Consider the following 26,525-nt stretch of genomic DNA (forward strand, 5'->3'; position numbering starts at 1 on the left):
CGCCTCCCCCTAGCTGACACCCATTCACAGCTCTAACATTAATTCCTCAGGGAAGCCTACCATGACCTAGATAGGTACCTTCTTTTATATCTCACATAATGTTTTCTACTTAAATATGCCCATATTTTGTAAATTAAGGCCTAAGCTCTGTGAGGGCAGGGACAGGGTCTATATTGCTGTTTCCCAAACATAATCCCCTCTGCCCTGCAGAGTGGGCTCCCAATAGACATTTGCTAAATGAGTGAATGGAGGACCTTCACAAAGATGCTATAGACTGAATTGTATCCCTCCAACCTGCAAAATTCACAGGTTGAGGCCTAATTCCCAGTGTGAGGATATGTGGGGTTGGGGCTTTGGGAGGTAACTAGGTTTAAATGAGGTCATGAGGGTGGGGCCATCATGAGGGACTAGTGCCCTTATAAGAAGAGACACCAGAGAGCTTGCTTTCTGTCTCTCCACCATATGAAGACATGGCAAGAAGGTAGCTGTCCACAAGCCCTCACCAGGGAGCCCTCACCAGAATCCAACCTGACTTCCAACCTCCAGCACCTGACCTCTGACTTCTAGTCTCCAGAACTGTGAAAAATAAATTTCTGCTTCAGCCACCCCACTCTGTGGTATTATATTTTTAAAATGTCAGCTTGAGCTGATTAAGACAGGCTGACAGGAGCAATTGCGAACAACCTCCTTCACAAGTCTCCAAGGGAATACTTCACAAAGTGCTATTTTCAAACTCATCTGCACCTGGGAAACACTGCAGATACCTTCGAAGGCACTGTGTGAACACGCTGTTGAATATGCTCAGCAAAACACATGCCTCAGAAACAGAAAACAAAAGTAGAGCACATAGTATCAGTTCTGTGTTTTCCTAAGCCTGCAGGAATGTGTGTTGTGTACCATCCACGGATACAAAGAATAAATCTACACAATGTAAATCTACACAATGTATACATGCCTTCCACTGGCAGGGGCATATGAACACAATACAATTATAGCGCCACACACACACACACACACACACACACACACGCGCATGCTGCACTCAAATGAAAGAATGAACAAAATCAATTCTGTATTCTTGCTTCTCCAGGGTGAATACCAACTCATTTGCAATTCTCTTCTTTGGGATGAAGTCACAAAATTGGAAATGATGCTTCAACCCTAGAATTTTCATTAAATGCTTTTAAGCTAATACTTGCTCTTGGTGGCAATTCTCATCCCCATTGGAATCACATAATGAGCACTTATGATTATTGATCTGATTGTAAACCCCATTATGATACCTTAAGGGTAATGGAGTCTCACCCTCTTAGCAGGCAAAAGTCAGAAGCACATTTGCTCTGGAAGATGATCTGAATTTTCTCAAAGAGGAAAACCAGCTCCCAAGATTTTTATTCTGTTATGCAGTAAAAGCAAGTCAAGGATTCAGATGGCATTTCTTCAAAATCAAGGGTTTTATCAGAAAAAATACAAGAATTGAATGCCATATGACATCTATGTCAAATGGTCTCCGAAGGACCTCACTACCTTGGCCTTCATCAGGACCAGGTGAGTGGGAACTGAGAGGCAGGACTGTGGCAGCCTGTGGCGATGAGAAGGCTGTGTTAGTCTGGAAATGCATGGCAGCTCCTTTAGGTACCAGTGTTTCTGATCTCCCCATTATTTTCCTCATGCCATTTCCTAAGAAAAAGCTCACAGTAAGAAAAACTTCCTTCAGGTAAGAGTATATTTTATAATTGACCAATGCTTAATTCTCTGCAGTGATGGAAGGGTGGTGCAATTCAGGCCACAATAAAATCAGGAGTGTTCCATTCATCTCTGCAAAGAACACTGGGCTATACATTTGTGCCAGATGCACCTTCAGTTTGTTTAAATTGTTATAAAGTTAACTTGCATGGGTCAACCAACATTGCTGGGGGCAGTTTAGAAGTGCTGGAGAAATATAAGCTCAGGGGAAGGAAACTAACTTGGGATGAAAAGCTTGCTGCAAATGATAGAGCAGATAATTTACATATAGACAGTGGAAAATGTGTTGTTTATTTGGTGATTATACATAATGTCTTTTCTCTTAACAATACAGGGAGAAGGAGAAGGAGATTAGGGAACATCAAGAATTAGGAGAAAGACGATGGCTGTGTAGTTTTCTTGCTTTTTATTTTTTTGAGATAGGGTCTTACTCTGTTGCCCAGGCTGGAGTGCAGTGGCCTGATCACAGCTCACTGCAGTCTTGACCTCCCAGGCTCAATCCATCCTCCCACCTCCTCCTCCCACTACAAGCATGTGCAACCACATCCAGCTATTTTTTTCTATTTTTTGGTAGAGATGGGGCCTTACTTTGTTGTCCAGACTGGTCTTGAACTCCCGGGCACAAGTGATCCTCTTGCCTCAGCCTCCCAAAGTGCTGGGATTACAGGTGTGAGCCACCATGCCCAGCCTATGTAGTCTTCTTTATACTATACAGCAAAATGAAATGTCATAGACTACTGGCTAAGGATTCCAGGGAGCAGATGGCTTTCTCAAATGAAGATCAAATATGTACAGAACTAAAATCTGGTCTACCAAGTCACAGAAGTGAACTGAACTCAATGTCTGCCTTACTTACCTCATCAAGGGGATAAGCCCGGAGAGGAAAAAAATGGTCTTTTCTAGGTTCAGCGGACCTCCTCCTTGGAACATCCAGCTGGCTCTCATCCTAGGCCTGCCCTCTGCATATATAATCACTTATCTTGGAGGCCACAATGACTACTGTGACATCTCATCTATATAGAGCTTTACATAAGCAAAGACAACACATTAAACAATATTTATTTATAGTGGTTGGGAGAACTACTTTGGAGCAGATAAACAATTCTTAATTATTGATCAATAAATAATGATCTTCATCCAGTTTTAGTTGTTACAGAATGACAGTGGTTAAAAAAATGTTTCAAATGGAACTAAGGCTAGATTAGAAAAGCCAAAACAATTTGTTTACTAAGAAGTTAGCATGGGTGGAATCTAGCAGAAATTGTGAAAGTCTAGCTTGGTGCTCTATAGAGATTTTTCTTAAAAGCCATTTTACCAGGACCTGTTTGAGGTCAGGAAGGTGCAGCACTGGTCCATTCACAGAAGGCTAGATAGACTCTGGCGGGAGCAGGGAGACAAAGTCGGCTTCCTGGATGAGTGACAGCAACTTCCAATGCACCCCTGGCCCTGCTCAGCCTTGCTCTGCCACCCCTGTTAATAAGCTGACTCTTTCCCAATCACCATTACGATGTGGAGGACAGAGCTTGGTACACATCCTGGAATATCTGCCAACTGTTCTTCTAGAAATTCACCTCTTCTGGGTGTTCAGAATATATAATGATGCCCTTAGGGTAATAAACACATGCGTGCATACGGTACGTAGGTGTAAAGGAGTTGTAGTGGATAAAAATGGGGGTTCTACGCATTTGGGTTTGAATCAGACTCTGGCACTTACTGGTCCTATAATCTTGGGCAAGCCACTTAACCTCTCTAACCCCAGCTTCCTCATCTGCAAAGTGAAGGTAATAATAGTGCCTCCTAAAGAGACTAAATGAGTTCATGTTACACACTGAGAACAGTAAGTGCCTCACACTTTGTGCTATTATGTTGGTAGACTTGCTAATGTTACCTTCAAACCAAAAGCTTAATCTTCAAGATAGGAAACATCGCTCCCATGGTTCCAATAATGTGGTTTGCTGCAGCCGTCCTCTACTAATTTTTATTTTAGATCCACACTCCCTCTTTCCATGACAGCTGGAATTCCTTTCGGTTTTCTAAATCTTCTATACTAGAAAGTCAGTAGCCTTTTGTGGAAACTATGTCTCCTCTCTTTAATGTTTTTAAGACCCCATAAGAGAAAAATATGAATAGATATATTTATGAGTGAAAGAATAACTATATTTAGGCTAGGGCTGTCAAGAAGACCTTTCTCCAATGATGTAAATGTCCTATATCTCTGCTGTCCAGCGTTGTGGCCACTAGGCACCTATGGCTATGGAGCTCTGAAATGTAGCTAGTGGGACTGAGAAAATGAAGGTTACATTTTATTTAGTTTTAATTAATTTAAATAGCTACATGTGATCAGTAGCATAGTCGCCGCATTGGACAGTGCAGGTCTAGAATTCACAAGTTTGTCAGAGCTTCAACCTTCCTCTCCGATAGTCTGTAGACTTGGAGTGGTTATGAGTACAGACTCTGGGGACACACATAGAGACACAGCTCTGCCACTGGCCAGCTCTCAAGTCTCTTCAATGCTTCAGACCTCTGTTTTCTCATATGTAAACTGGGGATGATAACTGCTACTATTTCATAGGGTTGTTGTGAGGATTAAATTAGTTAATAAATGCTTAGGAAAGCAGCTGGCACATAGTGTACATTTATATAGTGCTTACTATTCTTCAAGTTTTTGCTCCTGAAATTAACTTTTTAAACTGTCTCTTGATATATACCCTTTCTCAATTTCCATGTTACTTTTCCTCTGCCTGAAACTGATCAGCAGTGTTCCCAACCTCTCTCCTTCCTGCTTCTTCTCCCATATGCCTTAGTATTTTTAGGCATCTCTTTGTACCTGTTTCTGGAATGCATCAAGACTAAATCTGACACTGAATATAATCTCCCTGATCACAGGCTTCAGATTTTCCAAGTTAGCAGCATTTCTTATACCTTATATTCTACACGTTCCAATAAATTAAAACAATGAAAAAAGCATGGGGTTTAAAGTCAGAAGACCTGGGACATACCACCTACTGTGCCTGACTTTCAGCTTTCACAACTGTAAAATGGGAATAATTACACTATTTCGTGAGATTGTTGTGATTCATGATCAGGTGGGATAACGCATATGAAAGCACTTCGTAAACTGAAGCATTGTTATTTTTGTTCCCAATCAAATTCAAAGAGGATGAAAAAGGCAGGCCAAGGTAACCCGAGTTAATTCATCTGTAAGATGTGCTCCCAGCCCATCTGGTATTTCCATCTTGCTGGCAGCATTCTCTCTTTAATTCCTTAGCAACCATGACATGATTTGTTTCAGTGCTCAGTATAGCATCACTTGTTTTAAGGGAGCAGCTTCGCGATATTAACTGTCAAGGTTGGGGGATAGAGGTTACGTTCTCTTTTGTCACACATGGTTGGAGACCCAAAGACACTTCATGGCTGATGTTCTAGAACAACAAGGTGAAATGCAATGAACAATGGACAGGTGGCCTCCCGGTAATTCCAGAAAGCATCAAGTATTAGCGTAAAAAAGAGACTTAATAAAGGTAAAGTGGTAACTGAAATTAAAAGAACTGCCAAAAACAAGCCAAGTGAGTAAGCCAAGAAGCAGGGCACACCCTGCTTCAGTCAGAAACAAGTGCCACTGCTGAATCTCTGACCTCTTCAGGCCACATCTAAAACAGGGGTTCTCAAAGCATGTTCCCAGACCAGCAACACGAGCATCACCTGGGAGCTTGTTAGAAATGCAGACCCACTGAATCCGAATAAAGCTGAATAAGCTCCCTATGTGATCTGTACGCACGTTAAAGTTTGAGAGGCACTGATCACCAAAGGTTTTCCCATTGCTTTTCCTTGGCCTCCACTTAGTAGCACAGAAGTGGGAAAGGAAATAAACAGATCCTGCTCCAGGGTCAGTGCACACAACTACCTTAGCTGGAGCCATGCTTAACTCTATTAGGTACTGAGGGATTGGGAGAAAGGGGATGCCAAAAGGACACAGTCCCTGCCCTCAAGGAGCAAAGACTAAACAGGGAATAAATTCTAATCAAAGGCAAAATGGAGGCTAAATAAAGGCATGAGTGCCTCAAGATCAAGGGCTGTGTCTTAATCATCTTTGAATTCCCAGCACTTGGCAGGGAACGGTGGAGGAAGTGATCTCTCCTTTTGACTCCATGCCCTTGATAAACTCCAAGCCTCTTGCTACCTTGCTTGCTTAGCTGGATGTAAAACACCTGCCTGCTTTGTTGTGACTTTATGAACCTCTTGGATTCTAGATTCTACTTTCCCATTTGTACTTCTAGTATTTAAAAACAACTATTACTGATATGTTATTATTTACTGTATGCATGAACCATACTTATAACCTTACATATATTAACTCATTTTATGTGCACAAAGTTCACAGATATTAGTAGTTTATTATGTCCATTATACAGATGAGAAAATGGAGGCTCAAAGAGGTTAAACAACTTGCCCAAAGTCCCCTAGGTAGTAAAGAGTGGAGGCAGGAATAGAGTCAGGCAGTATGATGTCAGTATCCACTGCCCAGGTTTTGGATTCCTGGATTTGAACTGCCACGCTGCATAGGTCTGTCCGAGGTCTACCGGAACCCTGGCACCATAGCTGTGGCTTCTTCAGACTGTCCCCTCTTGTAGGCTATCTGTTCCTCCTAGCAATTCTAGGTCCACACTAGGGGACACTGGCCCCTGGTACTCTCTTTCCACCTTGACAAAAATCAGAAATGAAGATTCTCCTCCAGCGAGGCTGAGAACATTCCTATCTGCCTTATGGGCTGGTCTCCAAAGAATACTTTCTTTAGGTATTTTTTCCTAAACCAATGTCTCTGACAGGTGATTGCTCTGAAGTTACTGTTTGAAATAAGTTTGGGAAAGAGTGGAAGGTGACCTCTATGAGATTCATGTGAGTCAAACTTCTTTGACTCCCAAGCCTGCAAGACACTGTCTTTCTTAAATGTACCTGTTAGGCATCCCCAAGTGAAAACCCAAAGCTGTATTAATAATGGTGAGAAGGAAAGGAGGGCAACTTCAGACTTGCCATATATGGAATCTGCTTTTCAACAATGAACAGCTCTGCTTCCTGTGGGTCAGTAACGCTGAGCAGCTAGTGCAGCACAATGATAGGAAAACACTGACCATACAACAATAAACCAAGGAATAAACAGCGCCCAGGTTTTCCTTTAAGCCAACATATGCGGCTTGGTGGGGGTGTAGTGTTTTATTTATATTGCTATGCAACGTAGGAAAAAAAAAGGTGATTTCAATGAAAGGCACAGGAATATGCTGTGCTATCTGATCGCAGGTCTGAATTTAGACATGACAGATGTTGGGAGGGGTTTCACATTTGACATCAACCACGATAAGAGAAATTAATGTAGTGGGGTTAATGGCTAGGCTTTATTTTGTTTTTAAAAATTCAGTGGTGAGTACAGTCAGCGGCCCTGGGCCAGGGAATACTGTGCTGGCTCTGGCAGGGCCTGGTTGTATGTTTATGAAACCAGGAGCACAGCCTAGGGAAACTTAAAGCAAGCTGCCAGAGGAGGCTGCAAATTGATCTGTTAAATCGCAGATCACCAAACAGAACCTGTCCCACCTCTATGCTTACTTCTGGCGAGGTTCTGATTGGAAGGAAGTGCTGTCACCCAAGGAACCCCGTAACTCCGAGGGGCAGGCACATGAGCTTCTAAGGGTGTGTGTAAATTTATACTTCAGTCACAGCTAAAGTCTGGCCTTCTAGGAAAACTATCCCCCACCCCTTTCCCAAACTTCCCACGAAGCCCTCCAACCACAAAAAAACAACTTTAGAAACTTGAGTGGGGCTTTTCTGGAATCAGGTTCCCTCAGTTACAGTGAAGGCAGATATCTAGATACTTTATCCCACACTTTCCCTTAAGTCATGAGGTGCCTGTTTCAGTTGCCTCTTCGCTCTAGTTGCTGCCTCCACCCCCACCCCCCATGAAACTGGGGGAGAGGAAGGTCCTTCATGTCCTACTGCATGCCTTCTATATGCTAGGCACTATTCTAGCACTGGGGATACAGCTATGAGCAAAACAGAAAAAACAAAATTCCTGCTCTCAGAGTGTTTTAAGTTCTAGTGGGGAAAATCCACAAGTACAAATTGACAAGATAAGGTGTAGTTATCCTCAAATGAAGACAAATGGCAAGTCACTTGGCAAACTTATATACTATTCCCCACCAAGAAAGGAATCAGGAGAAAGAGAGCTAACATTTATTGAATGCTTCCTATGTGCCGATAACAAAAATAATAATTAATATTTTTGAGCATTTACTATGTCCTAGGCTCATAGGAAGTTGAGGTCACATACTTTATATATTCCCTCTTAATCCTCTCAATATTTCTGTTACTCCAATAGCACAGATGAGAAAACAAGCCTAGAAGTAACAATAACTTGCTCAAGTACACCCTGTTTGTGCAGGCACGCCCTGCTTGGGATCTCTGCACTCCAGCCTGATGGCTTCGACAGTCAGATGGTGGCGCACACTCCCCCTTGCTCTGCTCCTCTGCTGGTGGATGGTGCGTCACCCCCTCGCTTTGCCCAGCTCCATTCTACCAGTCCTTCCAGGTTTAGCTCGAATAGCTCCTTCTTAAGGAGAACTTTTCTGGCTCCTCATCATGACTGTGATCCTTTCTCTAAACTCCTTACTTAGATCACATATAGAGAAGGTCGGATCTAACCTCACTGGTTAACACATTCAAGCACTTAAAACTGCACTGCTCCTACTTCCTTTCCTTACTGTGCTTACGGTCAACAGTGTGAAACTTGTCACTTGATTCCACACTGTCTTATTTTTGTGTTGTTCCATATCCACTGGTCTCGTTTCCTCAATGAGATGAGCAGCTTAGGGAACTGTGTTTATATTTATAAATTATTATTTGTTTAATCATTGTTTAACAGAATGGGTCTCAAATTTGAGCATGGATCAGAATTATGTGAATGGCTTGTTAAATTAGATTGCTGGATCCTACCCCCAGAGTTTCTGATTCAGCAAGTCTGGGATGAGCTGAGAATTTTGTTTGTTTGTTTGTTTGTTTTTGAGATGGAGTTTCGCTCTTGTTGCCCAGGCTGGAGTGCAATGTGGCACCATCTCAGCTCACTGCAACCTCTGCCTCCCGGGTTCAAGAGATTCTTCTGCTTCAGCCTCCCAAGTAGCTGGGATTACAGGCACCCACCACCATGCCCGGCTAATTTTTGTACTTTAGTAGAGATGAGGTTTCATCATGTTGGCCAGGCTGGTCTCGAACTCCTGACCTCAGGTGATCCGCCTGCCTTGGCCTCCTAAAGTGCTGGGATTACAGGCATGAGCCACTGTGCCCGGCCTGAGAATTTGTATTTCTGACAAATTCCCAGGATATGCTGATGCTGCTGGCCCAGGAACCACTTTTGAGAACCACTGGTTAATTGAATGTACCACAGTGCTTAAGAGAAGGTAGGCGGCCAGGCGCGGTGGCTCACGCCTGTAATCTCAGCACTTTGGGAGGCTGAGGCAGGCAGATCATGAGGTCAGAAGATGGAGACCATCCTGGCTAACACGGTAAAATCCCGTCTGTACTAAAAATACAAAAAAACTAGCCAGACGTGGCGGAGGGTGCTTGTAGTCCCAGCTATTTGGGCGGCTGAGGCAGGAGAATGGCGTGCATCTGGGAGGTGGAGCTTGCAGTGAGTGGAGATCGGGCCACTGCACTCCAGCCTGGGCTACAGAGTGAGACTCCGTCTCAAAAAAAAAAAAAAAAAAAGAGAAGGTAGGCTGAGTTTGAATACCATCCCTGCCACTCACTAGCTGTGTGATCTTAGGTGACTTAACCAATTTGAGCCTGTTTCCTCATCTGTAAAAAATGGGGATAATAATAGTATATGTATATCAGGACTCTTGTGAGGATTATGTGTAATAATGAAAGTAATATGCTTAGCACTGTCCCTGACACATTGAAAACATTCAATGAATCCTTCCAGCTATCACTGGAAAGGCTGGTACAATATCAGCCACTAAATAAGCACTGAACCCAGCTTAAGAATTCCTCCTCAGGCTTAAAACTTCATAAGGCTTTGAATTCATAAGCAGTGAGAATGAAGGTTGTCACTGTGGCGTGACATCTATAATTAACAGCTTCTGAAATTAAGCCAGATTCCTAAAAAATACAACATAAAGGGTCTTCAGAAACGCCTCTCCCTATAGTATGCTTGATGTAAATCCCCACGTGTACAAAGGCCATGTGTCTCTTTAAAGTTCAGGGGATGTCGAGGAGGTACCTCCTTCACACCTTCCACTGCTGAAGGATACTGAAGAGCTTGGAGTTGCTGAAGTCACCCAGGCATCTGGGCTAATGGATTGACAGACAAAAGAGGAGCCCATCATTCAATAATTAATTAGTTGCAATCATGGGAAGACAACGTCCCCCAGAGCAGATAGGACAGCCACCTCCTCCAACCTGGTAGTTTCAAAGCACCCAGGCCCTGGCTGCTCTCAAACCTCTTTATCCAATGTTTCCCCTCAGGGTCTAGCTGAGCAGTTACACTGGCTGACATTCTCTTAAGAAAGCCCAAGAGGAAATGTGCAGAAAAGACAATTTTCAGACCTTGTCTCACAGTCCTGCAGGCCCTGGGACAGGGTATCCAGGGATGTAGGTCTGGTCTAGCTGTATCCCTGTCTCGATAATATAGGAGACAAGGGTCAAGATCCTATCTCTCTGTGAACCATGAATCCTGGGAACGCTGTCAGTTCAATCAAACCCTGCAAAGTTGAATGAGATCATCTCTGGGAGAATTAGTATTTAGCAGAGGCTGCGGCTGGGGGTTGTGGAGAGCTGCTGCTGCCCTTTAGAAGCCCTTCCATTCCCCATCCCCTTCTCAGAAGAGAACCCACCACCTCCTCTCACCCAGGGGTACTCTTACCCTGATGCCCAGAAAAAGGACGACGCCCCCCCACCACAATTTTCACTCCTATCTCCAATTTCCTAAACAAAACCATCACAGCCAGGTACAGTGTCCACACACTCGAATGGAGCACCACCCCAGGCAGCCCCAGGGCAGGGGTTTCTCTCCCATCACCCTGGCCAGGCCCTGGTTCCAGCTGGTAGGCAGAGTGAAAAGGGGGTGTGTGCACGGGAGACTGGAGGGGAACAGGGACCCAAGTCCTCCGGAGGTGAGGAGAGGCTGGGTCCCCGCACCTGGGGTCACTAGCTGGGAGATAAAAACCAAGGCAGGTGGGGGTTCCTTCCAGGAAAGAGCCACACGGTGTCTCTCCCCTTCTCACCATTTCTCATTGATCAACCTTCTGTCTTCCCGTTCTCTCCCTTCCATCCCTCCCCTCCCTCTTTGTTTGCCTTCTCCTCGCCTCCGCGTTTGAGCACCCAGCCCTCCCCACGAGCGCGACTCGGACGCCGCAGTCAGCAGCTCGGGGACCCCGGCCCCGCGCCCGCCACCCGGCCCCCTGCCCTGACCGGCCCTCCCGGCTCCTGGTCTCACCCAGAAGAGCAGGTTGAAGCCAAGCAGCAGGTACTTGATGCACCGCAGGCCCCCGCGGAAGCGCCCCATGCTGCGGCCCGGCGGCGGGATCCCCAGTCCCCAGGCCCGCGCTACGAGCGCGGGGAGCGGCAGGCTCCGGCGGGGAGGGGGCGGAGCGGGGAGGACCGGGGCGGGGCCTCCGGGGGGCGGGGCGGGGCCCGGCGGGGAGGGGCGCGTGGACCCCAAGCGGCGTGGCTGGCGACGGGTGGGGGCGCCAGCGGGTGGAGATCGAGCAGCCCGAGGGAGCACGTTCGCTCTTCTCCCGGACCCAGGGACCACCTTCCTTCCCTCCAGTGGGCGCACCGCCGCCGGCTATCGGAGCACCTGCAGGGCGGGAGCGCCCACCGGGGACTGGGGACCCATTTAATCAGCGCCCTGTGCGGAGACCGGTTTGAGGCCCGGGCGATGCTTGAGGGATAAGCACTTGGTCTCGTGGCTATGGAAATCTAGGAAGGTGACCTCGGGTAGAAGAGCTAAGTGGGGTCGGAGGTTGCCCCGAAGCTGGCAGGACCAGTCGCGGGGCACCTGACTGAGTGTCCAGGGCTGCGGCTCCGCGGCGCGGAGCAAGCACACAAGCAGCTTCTAGGGGACCCTCCCTCCGGCCCCTCCCCCCTCCTCGGGGGACTCTTACCTTAATAGGCAAGAACTGAGAGAGGGTGCGGGAGGCGGCGCCCTGAGTCCTGTGGGCTGCCCTCAACCCAGCCGGCCAGTGGAGGGAGTCTGACTTCTCATGTCCTGCCGGGTTCCACTGATCGGAGGGCTTGGAAGGATCCCAAATTTTCGGGATCTTAATTATGATGTGGAGATGGGAGAAAGGGGAAGGGGGCGGTTTTTGTTTTGCTTTGTTTTTATTAAGTTAGGCTGTTGGCAGGAAAATCAGACTCCCACTTCCATTGACTAAGTGTCTACAATATGTGGTGTCAGACAGTATGGGGGAGACAAGAAAGCAAAATTCGGAGAGCTTATGCATAAATTCAGCAAAACTTTGAGTGCCTATTATAGGCCAGACATAGTAGCAAGCCCCAGGGACTCAACAATGAGGAGACAGCCAGGCCCAGAACCACAGTCTCTGGTGTTGGAGACAGATCTGTAAGCAAATAGGGTGAGGAGAGAAGGGCTGGGTGCTAGACAGGTGTGCCTGGCCTGACTGCCTTAACCAGAAAAGGCATTGCTAAGGAGAGGGGCCTGATCTGGTCTAGAAGACGGAGCCCAGGCGGAAAAGATCAGTCCAGGAAGACAGCATGCGCAAAAGCACAGAGCTGGAGAGAACAAGGCCTCCAAGGGAGTTCTGAGAACCGCAGTTAGCCCGAGTGAAGCCTGGTGGGGGCAGAGTGAGTCAGGAAGGCAGGAGCCAAATCACAGCTTTCAGTCGGCTGACCAATGTGCCAAACTGTCATTGGCCCCGAGTGTCCCCACGTGCAACATGGAGGTAATAGTACTCCCCTCATAGAGTTGTGAAGATAAATGAGTTAGTATTTGTGAAGTGCCTAGAACAGTGCCTGGCACAGATTAAGTACTGCATAAGGGTTAGTATTATTGTATCACACTCTTATCAGTCAACCATTCAGTTTCTACCATGTTGCCATCTTTGCCTACCTCTGTGTCTTTGGACATTTGTTTGAATATCGACTCATTTATAAAAACGAGTCAAAGACAGAAAAATGAAAGTGCTGATTCTAGTAATAAACATGTCTCCAACAATGAAATAAAGACAAAGATGGAAGTCATTAGGTATGCAGAGAGAAGTGAATCATTAGCTTCAATCAAACACTTATAGTTCTATATCTGTCACCTCTGTTTTAGTATAAAGGAAAAGAACTAAGTTAAAGAGTAGTGTCTGGTACATAGAAGGCGTTCAGTAAATCAACTGAATGAACAATGATATTATACTTTAAATATATCGTTGAATTTTACATCTCTAAGACAAAATATGTCTAGAGATTATATAGAGGGAAGAGAACCCCTATTGTAACATATACATCTATTGTTTGTTTTTTTCATGCTACGATTTTAGCACACATGTATTAGAGACAGATGGTGGTTGCCTGTCCAACATAACAGTTTCAGATCTTTAGTATAGACTTGCCCAGTCGCCCTTTCACAAAGTTGTATGTCTTAAGGGAAGCTGACCCTTGAGAGGAATAGGCGAAGGTAATCCCATTTCCCTTGTAGTTAGTTCAGGAAACAAATTGACAAGCATCCTGACTAATGGGATGGGAGTGGTGTCTACTGAGGGGCCAGATGGTCTTCTTCCTCTTGAAGCTGTTGGATCTGGATGGTATACATAGAGTTGCTATATCCATCTTCATACCAGCCTGAGGAGAGATCCAACATTGAAAACAGCAAAGCAGGAAGTTGAAAAAACCAGAGTCATAGGTGATATTACGCCATAACTGAGTTAGCCATTTCTGAAGCCAATTGAGGTTTAGGTTTTTGTGTACATGTATGTGTATGTGTGTGGACGCATGTGTGTTAGTCCATTCTTGTGTTGCTACAAAGTAGTACCTGAGACTGGGTAATCTCTAAAGAAAAGAGATTTAATTGGCTCACAGTTATGCAGGCTGTACAGGAAGCATAGTGCTGACATCTGCTTCTGGTGAGGCCTCAGGAAGCTTTCAGTTGTGGTGGAAGGTCACAGGGAGCCAGTGTGTACACAGCGAGAGTGGGAGCAAAAGAAGTGGGGAGTTCCACACTCTTTTAAACAACCAGATATCACATGTGAACTCAGAGCAAGAACTCACTCATTATAGGGAGGATGGCATCCAGCCATTCATGAAGGATCCACTCCGATCCAATACCTCACACAAGGTCCCACTTCCAACATGAGGAATTGCCATCATCAACATATATGTATGTATTGTGCCTGAAAGGCATTCCATACATTTTCAAGGGTATATTACTATAAGAAAGTACAGGGCTACATTAAATGACATAATAAGGAAGTTAGCCTTTAAACTGTCACTGGCATTGCTCCCTTTTCTCTTTTTCCTGTCTTGAACTCAGACATGATGCTTGAAGTGCTAGAACATTTTGTGACTATGAAGAAAGGGCAAGACAATTGCAGACCTTCCAGCTAGGACATTGTGGAACTGCTGAACCAATACCAGCAGCTACCTAACTCCACATTTCTTATTATATAGGAAAAATAACCCTCTTTTTGTTTGACTTTGTGTTGTTACATGTAGCTAAAGATATTCCTGACTGGTAGAGGGAAGACAATACATTCATTTTTGGATCTGCTGAGTTTTAGATATGGTGGGAAATCCAGATGATGTGGAAATATGATTGGATTCTGGAGAAAGGTTTGGATGGTAAGTTTAGGGTAAAGATTCTTCAGCAAATGGTGATAAATAGAAGCCAGTGGTCTTAAAACTGTTGCCCACACATGCCCTAAAATAGTTACAAAAATATTTTCTCTTGCATTTTTTCCCAATATTTTATTATGAATATTTTCAAACGTACAAAAAATTTGAAATAGTTGGGCAAGGAGCACCATATACTCACCATCTAGATGCTACAATAAACATTTTGCTTTGGTTGCATTACTTATCTATACATCTGTCCATTTCTCAATCTATTTTTTTTTATTTATTTCCAAATAAATTGTAGGCAGTATGTTTCACTCCTAAACTCTTGAGCATGCATAACATTACCTAGAGTTCAAATATCTATTTACTATTTTTCTAAAATTTACCCCAATGAAATGTACACATTTTAAGTATATTATTTAATAATTCTTGACAATGCTTTTGCCTTTCTAACCCCGAATCCTATTAAGATATAGAATATTACTGTCACCCCAGGAAGCTTTCAGGCTTTCATATAACCCTTCCCAGTCAATCTATGCCCACATCCCTCCTAAAGGCAAACACTGTTCTGATTTTCTTTCACTATAGATTACACTTGCCTGTTTTAAACCTTCATATAAATGGCATTGTATAGTATTACCCTCACACATTTTTAAGTTGCAGGTAAAATTATTTATTATAAGTTTGAATATTTTCAGAGATGTCATTTCTGGTGTGTCTTAAATATTGACTTTTAAAATCAAATGGCCACATTACTCATTTTAATACATCCAGTAGAAACTGAATGCCAGTATGATCTGCTACCTATTATCATCGATTAAAAAATACATAAACAAGGCCAGGAATGATGGCTCACGCCTGTAATCTCAGCACTTTGAGAGGCCAAGGCAGGAGGATCACTTGAGTCCAGGAGTTTGAGACCACCTGAGCAACATAGTGAGGCTCTATCTCTACAAAACAAATGAAAAAAATTAGCAGGGTGTGGTGGTGCTCGCTGTAGTCCCAGCTACTCCAGAGGCTGAAGTGGGAGGGTCACTTGAGCGTGGGAGGTCTAGGCTGTTGTGAGCTGAGATTGCACCATTGCACTCCATCCTAGGTGGCAGAATGAGACCATGTCTCAAAAATAAATAAATAAATAAATAATTAAAAATACATGAGCAAGCTCCTCTTTAATAGGGTGAAAATTTTAATCTTTCCTTTTGCTCCTTGAACTTGTATTTCCGTTTTACAAAATGTCATCCTAAATTAATGCATGTTTATGCTTGAATGATTTTTCTTGAATGTCCTTTTATACTTGTCTGAACAAAATTTACTATGTTTATTAAAAGAAATTAAACTTTTCCCCTGAGACCATAAGGCTGTAAATGTTAACTAAGTTCTTCTAGATCGGAGGTGTCCAATCTTTTGGCTTACTTGGGCCACATTAGAAGAATAATTGTCTTGGGACACACATAAAATACACTAGCATTAATGATAGCTGATGAGATAAAAAATCACAAAATACTCATAATGTTTTAAGAAAGTTTATGCATTTTTGTTGGGCAGCATTCAAAACCATCCGCCACGGGTTGGACAAACTTCTTCTAGATTAAGTTACTGTTAAAATTATTTTTGGTATCCAAGTGGTTAAAATTGTATACTAAATTTAAAATATAGTTTTAAATAAACAGTCACTAAACTTAAAGGTAAAATATTGCTGGAAATGCATCTCTTAATGATATTGATGGGGTTGGTATTTTTTTTTCTACTAGTTCATATATCCATGAACGAATATTATTGCTAGAACCACAAAGCTGACCATAAATTCCCTTAATATTTTTCATTGTTTTGATATTAATGTTGAAAAACTCTGTTTAGACAAATAAGTAGATAAAGATGGAAGATGTTTTTATAGCAATGACAATCAATTCTTTAAAGCCCCTCTGAATTATGTGCCCCAATTCACACACTGATACATGCTGATATGGTAATTCCCAGTGTTGGAGGGGGGACCTAGTGGGAGGTATGGATCATGGGAGTGGATCCCTCATAAATGGCTGGATGGCATTCTCCCTATAATGAGTGAGTTCTTGCTCTGAGTTCACTGTGAGATCTGGTTGTTTAAAAGAACATGGCACCTCCCGCCCTTGCTCCCACTCTTGCTATTAAACTATTTTTAATGATTAAATCAGCTGAAAATTCCATTTGGCCTTTCTTCAATTTTATTTTTTTATTATAATTTTTTTTTTTTGAGAAAGAGTCTCACTCTGTTACCCAGGCTGGAGTGCAGTGGCATGACAAAACTCACTGCAACCTCTCTGCCTCCCAGGCTTAAGTGATCCTCCCACCTCAGCCTCCCAAGTAGCTGGGAGCCATGTACCACCACACCTGGCTAATTTTTGTATTTTTTTTTGGTAGAAATGGGGTTTCACCATGTTGCCTAGGCTGGTTTCAAGTGATCCCCCTGCCTCAGCCTCCCAAAGTGCTGGGATTACAGATGTGAGCCACCTCATCTGGCCCTTTCTTCAATTTTATTGAAAGCATAGAGTTGGAACCCTTCTAACTTACAAAGGCATTTATTACCCATATTATAGTTATCTACTTTCTCAGCACCTACAGCAAGTTTGCAAATTGGTGACCAAGAGATTTCTACAACCTGGGGAAATATACCCAATTCAGAGTGGGTGAGCGGTAGCTTGTGGAAGATATCTTGATTGTAGGCATATTCCCAGGCAGATTGATTCTAGGAAGGAATACACCTGGAAGTTAATGAGTGGGAAACTGATTCTCTTAAAACTGTTCATGTTGGAGCACCTCTGGAAAGAGTTCTTGTATCCCCAGGACATGCATGCCTCAGAGATATATGGCTGTCTTAAGCCATGAGAATGGATGATATGCCCAGGAAGAGTGTGAAAAGGGTTGAGAACAGAAACTTTAGAGCAACAACATTTTAAGATGTGGGCAGAAGAGATGTGACACTTAAAGGAGACTGGTAAGAAATGACCAGAGACATAGGAGAAAAATCAGAAAAAAGTGGCGTCACAGAAGCTGAGTGAGGAGTTTCTCGATGGAGGCAGTGTCCACAGTGCAAAATGCCTCAGCAGCAGGAGGTGAGAGAAGAGAGCATTGCATGTGGTGACCTAGTACCTTAGGACACTGACAACCTCAGTAACAGCCACTGCAGAAGAGTAGGGGTGGACTGGGTAAGCTGGGCCACAACTTAGGAGGGAATGAGCAGTGAGGAAGTCATAACAATTGTTCTCTTTTTTAAGTGAGAAATGTGCTTTTTTTTTAACTTTTATTTTAAGTTCATGGGTACACGTGCAGATTTGTGATATAGGTAAACTTGTGCCTTGGGTTTATTTGTACAGATTGTTTTGTCACCCAGGTATTAAGCCCAGTATCCATTAGTTATTTTTCCTGATCCTCTCCCTCCTCCCACCTTCCACCTTCCTATAGGCCCCAGAGTGTGTTGTTCTCCCCTGTGTGTCCATGTGTTCTCATCATTTAGCTTATAATTGAGAACATGTGGTATTTGGTTTCCTCTTCCTGCATTAGTTTGCTAAGGATAATGCCCTCCAGCTCCATCCATGTCCCTGCAAGGGACATAATCTTGTTCTTTTTATGGCTGCATAGTATTCCATGGTGTGTATGTACCACATTTTCTTTATCCAGTCCACCATTGATGGACATTTAGGTTGATTGTATGTCTTTGCTATTGTGAAGAGTGCTACAATGAACATACGCTTGCTTGTGTCTTTATAATAGAATGATTTATATTCCCTCGGGATATACCCAGTAGTGAGATTGCTGGGTCAAATGATATTCCTGTTTTTAGTTCTTTGAAGAATCACCACATTGCCTTCCATGATGGTTGAACTAATTTACACTCCCACCGACAGTATATAAATGTTCTTTTTTCTCTGCAACCTTGCCAGCATGTGTTATTTTTTGACTTCTTAATAATAACCATTCTGACTGGTGTGAGATGGTATGTCATTGTGGTTTTGATTTGCACTTCTCTCATGATCAGTGATGTTAAGTATTTTTTCATATGCTTGTCGGCTGCATGTATGTCTTCTTTTGAAAACTGTCTGTTCGTGTCCTTTACTCACTTTTTAATGGGGTTGTTTGTTTTTTTCTTGTAAATTTGTTTAACTTCTTTATAGATGCTGGATATGAGACCTTTGTCAGACACATAGATTGCAAACATTTTCTCCCACTCTGTAGGTATTGAAACTGGGTATTGAAGGAACATACCTCCAAATAATAAGAGCCATCCATGACAAACCCACAGCCAAAATCATACTGAATGGGAAAAAGCTGGAAGCATTCCTGTTGAAAACCGGCACAAGACAAGGATGCCTTCTCTCACCACTTCTATTCAACATAATATTGGAAGGCCTGGCCAGAGCAATCAGGCAAGAGGAAAAAAATAAAGGGCATCTAGATAGGAACAGAGGAAGTCAAACTATTCCTGTTTGCAGACAACATTATCCTATATATACAAAATCCCATTGTCTCAGCCCAAAAGCTCCTTAAGCTGATAAACAACTTCAGCCAAGTGTCAGGATACAAAATCAATATGCAGAAATCACTAACTTTTCTTTTCTTTATTATTATTATTTTTTAGATGGAGTCTTGCTCTGTCACCCAGGCTGGAGTGCAATGGCACGACCTCGGCTCACTGCAAACTCCACCTCCCAGATTCAAGCAATTCTCCTCCCTCAGGCTCCCAAGCAGCTGGGATTACAGGCACGCGCCACCACGCATGGCTAATTTTTTTTTTTTGTATTTTTAGTAGAGATGGGGTTTCACCATGTTGGTCAGGCTGCTCTCAAACTCCTGACCTCATGATCCACCCGCCTTGGCTTCCCAAAGTGCTGAGACTACAGGCATAAGCCACCACACCCGGGCAAAAATCACTAACTTTTCTATAAACTGACAACAGTCAAGCCGAGAGCCAAATCAGAAATGCAATCCTGTTCACAATTGCCACACACAAAAAATAAAATACCTAGGAATACAGCTAACAAAGGAGGTGAAAGAGCTCTACAAGGAGAACTATAAAACACTGCTCAAAGAAAGCAGAGATGACACAAACAAATAGAAAACTTTCCATGTTCATGGACGGGAAGAGTCAACATTGTTAAAATGGCCATACTGCCCAAAACAATTTATAGATTCAATGCTATTCCTATTAAACTACCATTGACATTCTCCACAGGACTATGAAAATTATTTTAAAATTCATATGGAACCAAAAAAGAGCCCAAATAGTCAAGACAGCCCTAACCAAAAATAACTAAGCTGGAGGCATCACATTACCGGACTTCCAACTATACTATAGGGCTACAGTAACCAAAACAGCACAGTATTGGTACAACAGTAGACACATAGACAAATGGAACAGAATAGAGAATAGAGGCTGCACACCTGCAACTATCTGATCTTTGACAAACCTGACAAAAACAAGCAATAGGGAAAAGACTCCCTATTCAATAAATGGTGCTGGGAGAACTGGCTAGCCATATGCAGAAGATTAAAACTGGACCCCTTCCTTACAACATACACAAAAATCAACTCAAGATGGATTAAATACTTAAATGTAAAACCCCAAAGTATAGAAACCCTGGAAGACAACCTAGGCAATACCATTCTGAACAATTGCTCTTTCAAGAGGCTTAGTTGTGAGTGGTGCAGCAAGATGAGTGGAAGCAAGCTTCTTTTCTTTTTCCTTTTCTTCCTTCCTTTCTTAATGGGGAAGATTTAAATGTGTTCATAGTCCTGGGGGAAGGTGCCTGGGGAGAGAGAGGTTGAAGGAGAAGAAAAGCGAGAGCAGTGTTTCTGCAGAAATAGAATGGGACTGAGAACCAGACACTGATGGGGGCTTGCATTTGGAAACAAGGAAAATAAGCAAGGGTGGAGTTGTAGTACCATTTTGTATTATATGTCTCATAACCCTAGTATCTGAACTCTCTGTGATCAGACTTTGCTGCCTGTGGACTTTTCTACGTATTGATTTTAGTGTCTTGTTCCTTGTGTATTATGTGATTTTTTTAAAGCTGTAAACTGCTTACTTTCCTTGGAAATTTGTGGGAATTCTTTGAGTCCTTAGTTGAGATTTTATTCCTCCAGAGAGGATTTTCTTTGCCTTCTGCAAATCATCTCAAGGCAGTACCATAGTGTTAATTCAGACAACAAATCCATTTGAAGGCTGGCTTGTGGTGACAAGGTCTCAGGGGAGATTTTCCCCACTCCAACACCAAGTCCAAAACGTATACATTTCTTTGTCGTCTTTTGCATGATGGGTTTATTTCTTGTCTACTCTTCCCTTGAGGGTGTATCCTTTGGGAGGAGGTACCAGGTTTGGGTGAGGTCTCCTAATACACTGTCTATATTAATGGCATTTTAGGCTTTACTTCACAAACCCCAAGCGGTTGCAGCTGTCGAAACCGAAACCCAGGGCAAAAGGTGGCTTTGGTGCCTGCTTACTTCGAGTTCTTGCTTTCACTTCATTTTGGCCTTTGTAGATTCTCTTCCTTTTGTGCTAGCTCAACGATGTGGTTTTATTTTTACATTCTTACATATTTTATCCAGGGTCTTAGTTTCAGTCGAGAAGGTAGTTCAGGATATCAAATCTGCCCTACTGCTAGAAAAGGAAGCCCGGTGTGCCTGCTATCGTAACTTTGGTTTTGATAAGCAAACACGAGCAGTTTTTGACTGCTGGGTTTACAGCATAGGAACCCTGTTGCTATGCAGCTGTTGTTGGAAAATAGTCTGTGGGCTCAGAGTTTCTAAACCAACCGTCTATTGGATGCCCAGAGAAGGAAGGAAAGCGAGGGCCCTGGCTTGCTGATTACAAACCATCTCCATGGTCACAGGTTGCTGGGTGCTCCTTTTACGATGTTTTCCCAGCAGCATGCAGGCAGCAGTAGCTTCCTTTGATCATTTTTCAGTTTCTGTTATTTGCTAGTGAGAGAAAGTTTATACCTGCTTGTGGGGACATGAGTGAAGAAAGAGAGGGGACTTTGAAACAAGAGAAGAGAGCAAACTCAAAAGGTAACTGTTTGTTTTCATAGGACCCTATGGGAACAACTAGCCCATTTTTGTTTTCACTCGTGCAGCCAGTTGGGGGAAGGAGAGGAACATAACTCATCCAGGTCTGAGGTCTAAGTCTGAATATTTATTGTGCCTCACAGATGATCCCCATTTGAATCATCCAAATTAGGAAAGAGTTTAAAAAATTACTGAGTAATAGTCTGGCAGAATTTTAATGTGACTTCTCTTGTTGACTTTAAGGTTTAACAGAGGCCCCAAAGGCTGAGAGCAAAATTGTAGGTACTTAAGTACCTTTACATTCTAAAGCAAGGTGCAAGATTGTCTATATTAGTCAGACATTATATATTCATATAAGAGATTTATTATAAGGAGTTGGCTCATGTGATTATGGAGGCTGACAGTCCTGAGGTCTGCAGTCAGCAAGCTGGAGACCCAGGAGAGCTAATAGTGGGGTTCTAGTCTGAATGCTGTCAGACTCCAGACCCAAGGAGAGCTGATGTTTCAGTTCAAGTCCAAAAACAGGAAAAGATCTATGTCCCAGGTCAAGCACTCAGGAAGGAGTTCCTTTTTACTTGCAAAAGGGTCAACCCTTTTGTCCTATTCAGGCCTTCAGCTGAGCAGATGAGAGCTGCCCTTTAAGAATGGTAATCTATTTTACTTGGTCTACCAATTTACACCCTCACAGGCATACCCAGAATAATGTTTGACCAAATATTTGGGGCCCCCCTGGCCTAGTCAAGTTGACATGTAAAATTAACCATCACAGAGAACAAAAGAAATGTAAAACAGGTAGACTAAATTGAAAACATACAATGAGATGGTAAATTTATACCTAAATATATCAGTAACTTCTGTTGAAAATAATCAAGAAAAAGAGAGATTGCACAAATAACCAATGTCAGGAAAAAAAAAAGATTAATAACTCCAGATCTGCAGAGATTTAGATAATAATAGGATAATATAAACAACTGCAAATAAATTTGAAAGGTAGGTAAAATGGACTGATTCCTTTGAAAAGTAACATCAGAATGCACTCAATGAAAATTAGAAGTTTGAATAGCCTTGTAAGCATTAAAAAATTGTATATGATCTTTTCACAAAAACAAAAAAGTCCAGCCCAGATTGTCCTTCAGTGGTGTGTTCTGCCAAACGTTTAGGTATGAAGTAATTCCAATCTTATGCAAACTCTACCAGAGAGTAGAAAAAGAGGGAGCATTTAAAAAATACTAAAATTATGAGACTTGTAGCAAGATCTCGAAACCTAAACCTGAAAAAGACAGGACAGTAATGAAAAGGAAAATTATAGGTCAATTTCACTTATGAACATAGATGCAAAAATCTTCAGCAAAATAATAGTCAACAAAATAGTAATATCTCACTTATTTGTGGGATCTAAAAATGAAAACAATTGAACTCATGGACCTATAGAGTAGGAGGATAGTTACCAGAGGCTGGGAAAGGGAGTGGGGAGTTGGAGGGGAAGGTAGGAATAGTTAATAAGTACAAAAAAATATAGAAAGAATGAAGAAGACCTACTATTTGATAGTACAATAGGGTGACTATAGTCAATAATAACTTAATTGTACATTTTAAAATAAAGAGTGTAACTGGATCGTTTCTAACTCAAAGAACAAATGCTTGAGGGGATGGACACCCCCTTCTCCATGATGTGCTTATTTCACATTGCATGCCTGTATCAAAACATCTCATGTACACCATAAATATATACACCTACTATATACTCTCCCAAATTTAAAAAGGTATGCATTAATACATAGAAAGCCTAATACATCATGACTGTATAGGGCAGGAATACAATGTTGATTTACATTTCAATCAGTATAACCTACCACATTAATAAAGGAGAAAAATCTGTGGTCATCTCAGTAGATACAGAAAAATCTTTTGATAATTCAACATCGATTTGTTGTAAAGATTCTAGGCAACTAGGTATAGATGGGAATTCATTGCTACAAGATAACATTTTGGTGACAAGACACATTCCTGCTATCACTACTTCTACTCATCACTGTACCAGAGAGCTCAATAAGAGAAATTAAATGTATAAGGCTTAGAAAGAAAGAAAGAAAGTTGTCATTATTTGCAGATGATCTAATTGTGTGTTTATTTTGATTTTCTACATAAAATAATAGGTTACTAGAATTAATAAGAGCGCTTATTAAATTTTCTGATGATAAAAATAAATGTGAGAATATCTTTTCATTAGATCAGTAATGAATCAGAAACTAAAATTTAAAAGAACATAGCTTAAAATAGCATAAGAAGTATCTATTCTCTAGAAAAGACATGTAAGAACTTTACAGGGAAAAATTAAAGTCTTTGTTGGGTAATGTTAAGGAAGCTGTTAATGAATGGAGAGATATGCTAAGTTTGAATTAGCAAAACCGACATTTAAAAAATGTCAATTCTCTCCAATTTGATGTATAGATTCAAAGCATTTACAATAAAAAATCTTCACAAAGATATTTTTTGTAGGTTTTTCATGGCAGCATGTGACAAGATGATGCTGAAAAATTTATATGGAAATTCAAAGGATCAAGAATAGCTGAAACATCACTGAAGAAGAACAAAGTGGGCTGAACTCGCTCTACTAGATATCAAGATTTATAAGCAACTACAGTATTTAGGACAGTGTAGTATCGGCACTGGGAGAGAAAAAAAAAAAAAAAAACTAAAAGGAAAAAGAGCCCAGAGACTGACTTTTGTGTATGTGGACAGTTTGTTTATGATGAAAGTACCACTGCTATGCACTGTGGGAAAATGTCCTCAAAGAATGACACTAGGGCAACTGGGTATCCCCATGTAAAAACAATTAACCCTAATCTCACATCACACACAAAAATCAACTCCATTTGGGGTATATACTTAAATGGAAGGTAAAACTATTAATATAAAGTTTATAGAGAATATTGTTTATTGCTTTTTTGGCCCCGATTCTTCTCTCCTCCCTGTGCCCATGCCCTTTCCCAGGTGACTTTGCAGTTCCTCTCATAAAAGGGGCAGATTATGTTTTTCCTCCCTGGACTCTATGTTTGGCTTAAGTCCTTTGGTGGAAGTGACAGTGTGCCATTCTGGGCCTAGGCCTCAAGGGACCTTGAACATCTCTGCTTGCCCTCTTCCACTTATGCCATCCCCATGAGAAGGATATGCCTGATCCAGCCCACTGACCTTGACAGGGAGATGAGAGACACATGGGTAGAGTTCTCTGGTGAAGCTGCCCCAGCCAAACCCAGCCTGGAGCCAAGCCCAGCCAAGATAAAGTGAGCCCATCCTGGACCAGCTGACCCAGGCACCTGAATGAGAACAAAATAATTTTTGTTTTCCATCATTGAGCTTTGGGTACATTTGTTAGGCAGCAATAAACTAACATCAGAAGGTAATATAGGAAAATATCTATATGACTTCCAGATAGGCAAATGTGTTTTAAGCTAGTCACAAAAGTACCTGCTCACCATAAAGAAAAAGAGTTTTTATGTTAAAATTAAGAATCCTCATTTATCAGAAAATACTGTTAAGAGAGTAAAGAGGCTTGCCATAAAATGGAAGATGATATTTGCAACCATTCAACAAAAAACCAGTATCGAGAATATTTTAAAAATTCCTACACAGAATTAAGAAAAGACAGATTATTTTACATTTTATATAAAAGTCCATCCACCTTTTATATGTACCTGTTGCACATAAAAATGAGCAAAAAGACTTGAAAGAGTATTTTGCAAAAGAGTAAATCCACCTGGACAATAAACATACGATAATGTTCTGAATCCCAGAAACCAGGGAAATGTAGATTAAAGTCAACAACAAAGTGGTAGCTTAGACCCCAAGATTAAAACAGTGTCAGTGAGAAAATACCAGTTACAGAGATAGTCAGGAACCTTTAAGAAACAAGATGCTGGATGTTACATTGAAAAATATGTGCTGAGCTGTGCTGCTCTGTAACTACCTGCCCTGTTGTGAATCTGACCCACAATGCCTGTGAGAGTGGTGTTTTCTCTGGAGGATTCAAAGGAAAGGACAGTTGCCTTCTTCCTTGTGTTGCTACAGGGCAGAGAGAATACTGCAGGAGGTGAGGGGCAGAACAGAGTTTATAACCTCAACTGCAGTGTGAAAATGCTGGTTACCTCCACCATGTCTTACGGTGTAGCAGCCATATGTTTTGAGTTGGGTAGATCCCAACCACCTTCAGGGATAAGCCCTGATTGCCCTAAGCCATTCATCATAATCCCATTTCCCTGGCCTTGGATGGCTATATAACCTACATTGATTCAATCAGACTGAGGTTCTGGACTCTTGCTCAGTATTAAACACATGTATGACCTAGAAGTGCTGCAGCCATTTTGCTACTACGAGGAACCCAGTCTGAAGACAAATTGTGTACAAGGGAAGGGGCAGAGCCAAGAGAATTATGGAATGAAATCCAGTTTGATTAGATCATGCCTGAAATTTTCTAATTACTACACCTTTCAGTTATATGAACCAATGAATTTCCTTTATTTTTCAAGCCAGTTTGAGTTGGCTTTCTGCTAGTTGCAATAGAAGCATCTGTAGAAATTAGAGCAACAGGTGATGAGGAAAGATGTACTGAAATTTCCGCAGGATCTGGTGATGAGGAGAAGCACAAGTTATACCACCAAATATGGAATGGAGGCTTAATAGGTTTAAAAATAATATTAAGGGGGAAGTTTGACTGAGGAACTCTGGCAAATGCCACTTGACTGACACATATGATATCTAGTAGCTTAGTGAAGTTTAGGGATGGTTCCTTGAGAGAATCAACTAGAAAGCCTTTTAAAACTCCTTTGAAGAGAATATAAGCTCTTGAAAAGATCCCAAAGATCAATCATTTCATCAAACAGCTGGGGAAACTGAGGCCCAAAGAGGTTATGTTTTAG

General features: G+C 42.2%; 1 protein-coding gene and 1 long non-coding RNA gene across 5 annotated transcripts in view, besides 1 other annotated feature; one reads left to right on the plus strand and one right to left on the minus strand.

Annotated features, from left to right (window-relative positions):
* Positions 1–11,364, minus strand: part of TSPAN2 (tetraspanin 2) — a 41,493-nt gene extending 30,129 nt beyond the window's left edge. For all 4 annotated transcript variants that reach the window (XM_016999996.2, NM_001308315.2, NM_001308316.2 and 1 more), the window contains exon 1: positions 11,225–11,364. In XM_016999996.2, coding sequence (XP_016855485.1) covers positions 11,225–11,293 — 69 coding nt within the window. In that variant the 5' untranslated portion in view covers positions 11,294–11,364. The remainder of the gene's footprint in view (positions 1–11,224) is intronic.
* Positions 21,508–24,542, plus strand: LINC01765 (long intergenic non-protein coding RNA 1765). Its single transcript, XR_947722.3, has 2 exons — positions 21,508–21,612; positions 24,109–24,542. It is a non-coding gene; the product is annotated as a long intergenic non-protein coding RNA 1765 (long non-coding RNA).
* Positions 21,559–21,618: an enhancer, noted in NCBI's record as "active region_1554". NCBI's record gives its function as "activates an Ori minimal core promoter by ATAC-STARR-seq in GM12878 lymphoblastoid cells {active_cell/tissue: GM12878}" and the evidence as "EXISTENCE:reporter gene assay evidence [ECO:0000049][PMID:35858748]".
* Positions 24,543–26,525: the final 1,983 nt, after the last annotated feature.

Source organism: Homo sapiens, chromosome 1 (assembly GCF_000001405.40).
Source record: "Homo sapiens chromosome 1, GRCh38.p14 Primary Assembly".
NCBI classification, from domain to species: domain Eukaryota; kingdom Metazoa; phylum Chordata; class Mammalia; order Primates; family Hominidae; genus Homo; species Homo sapiens.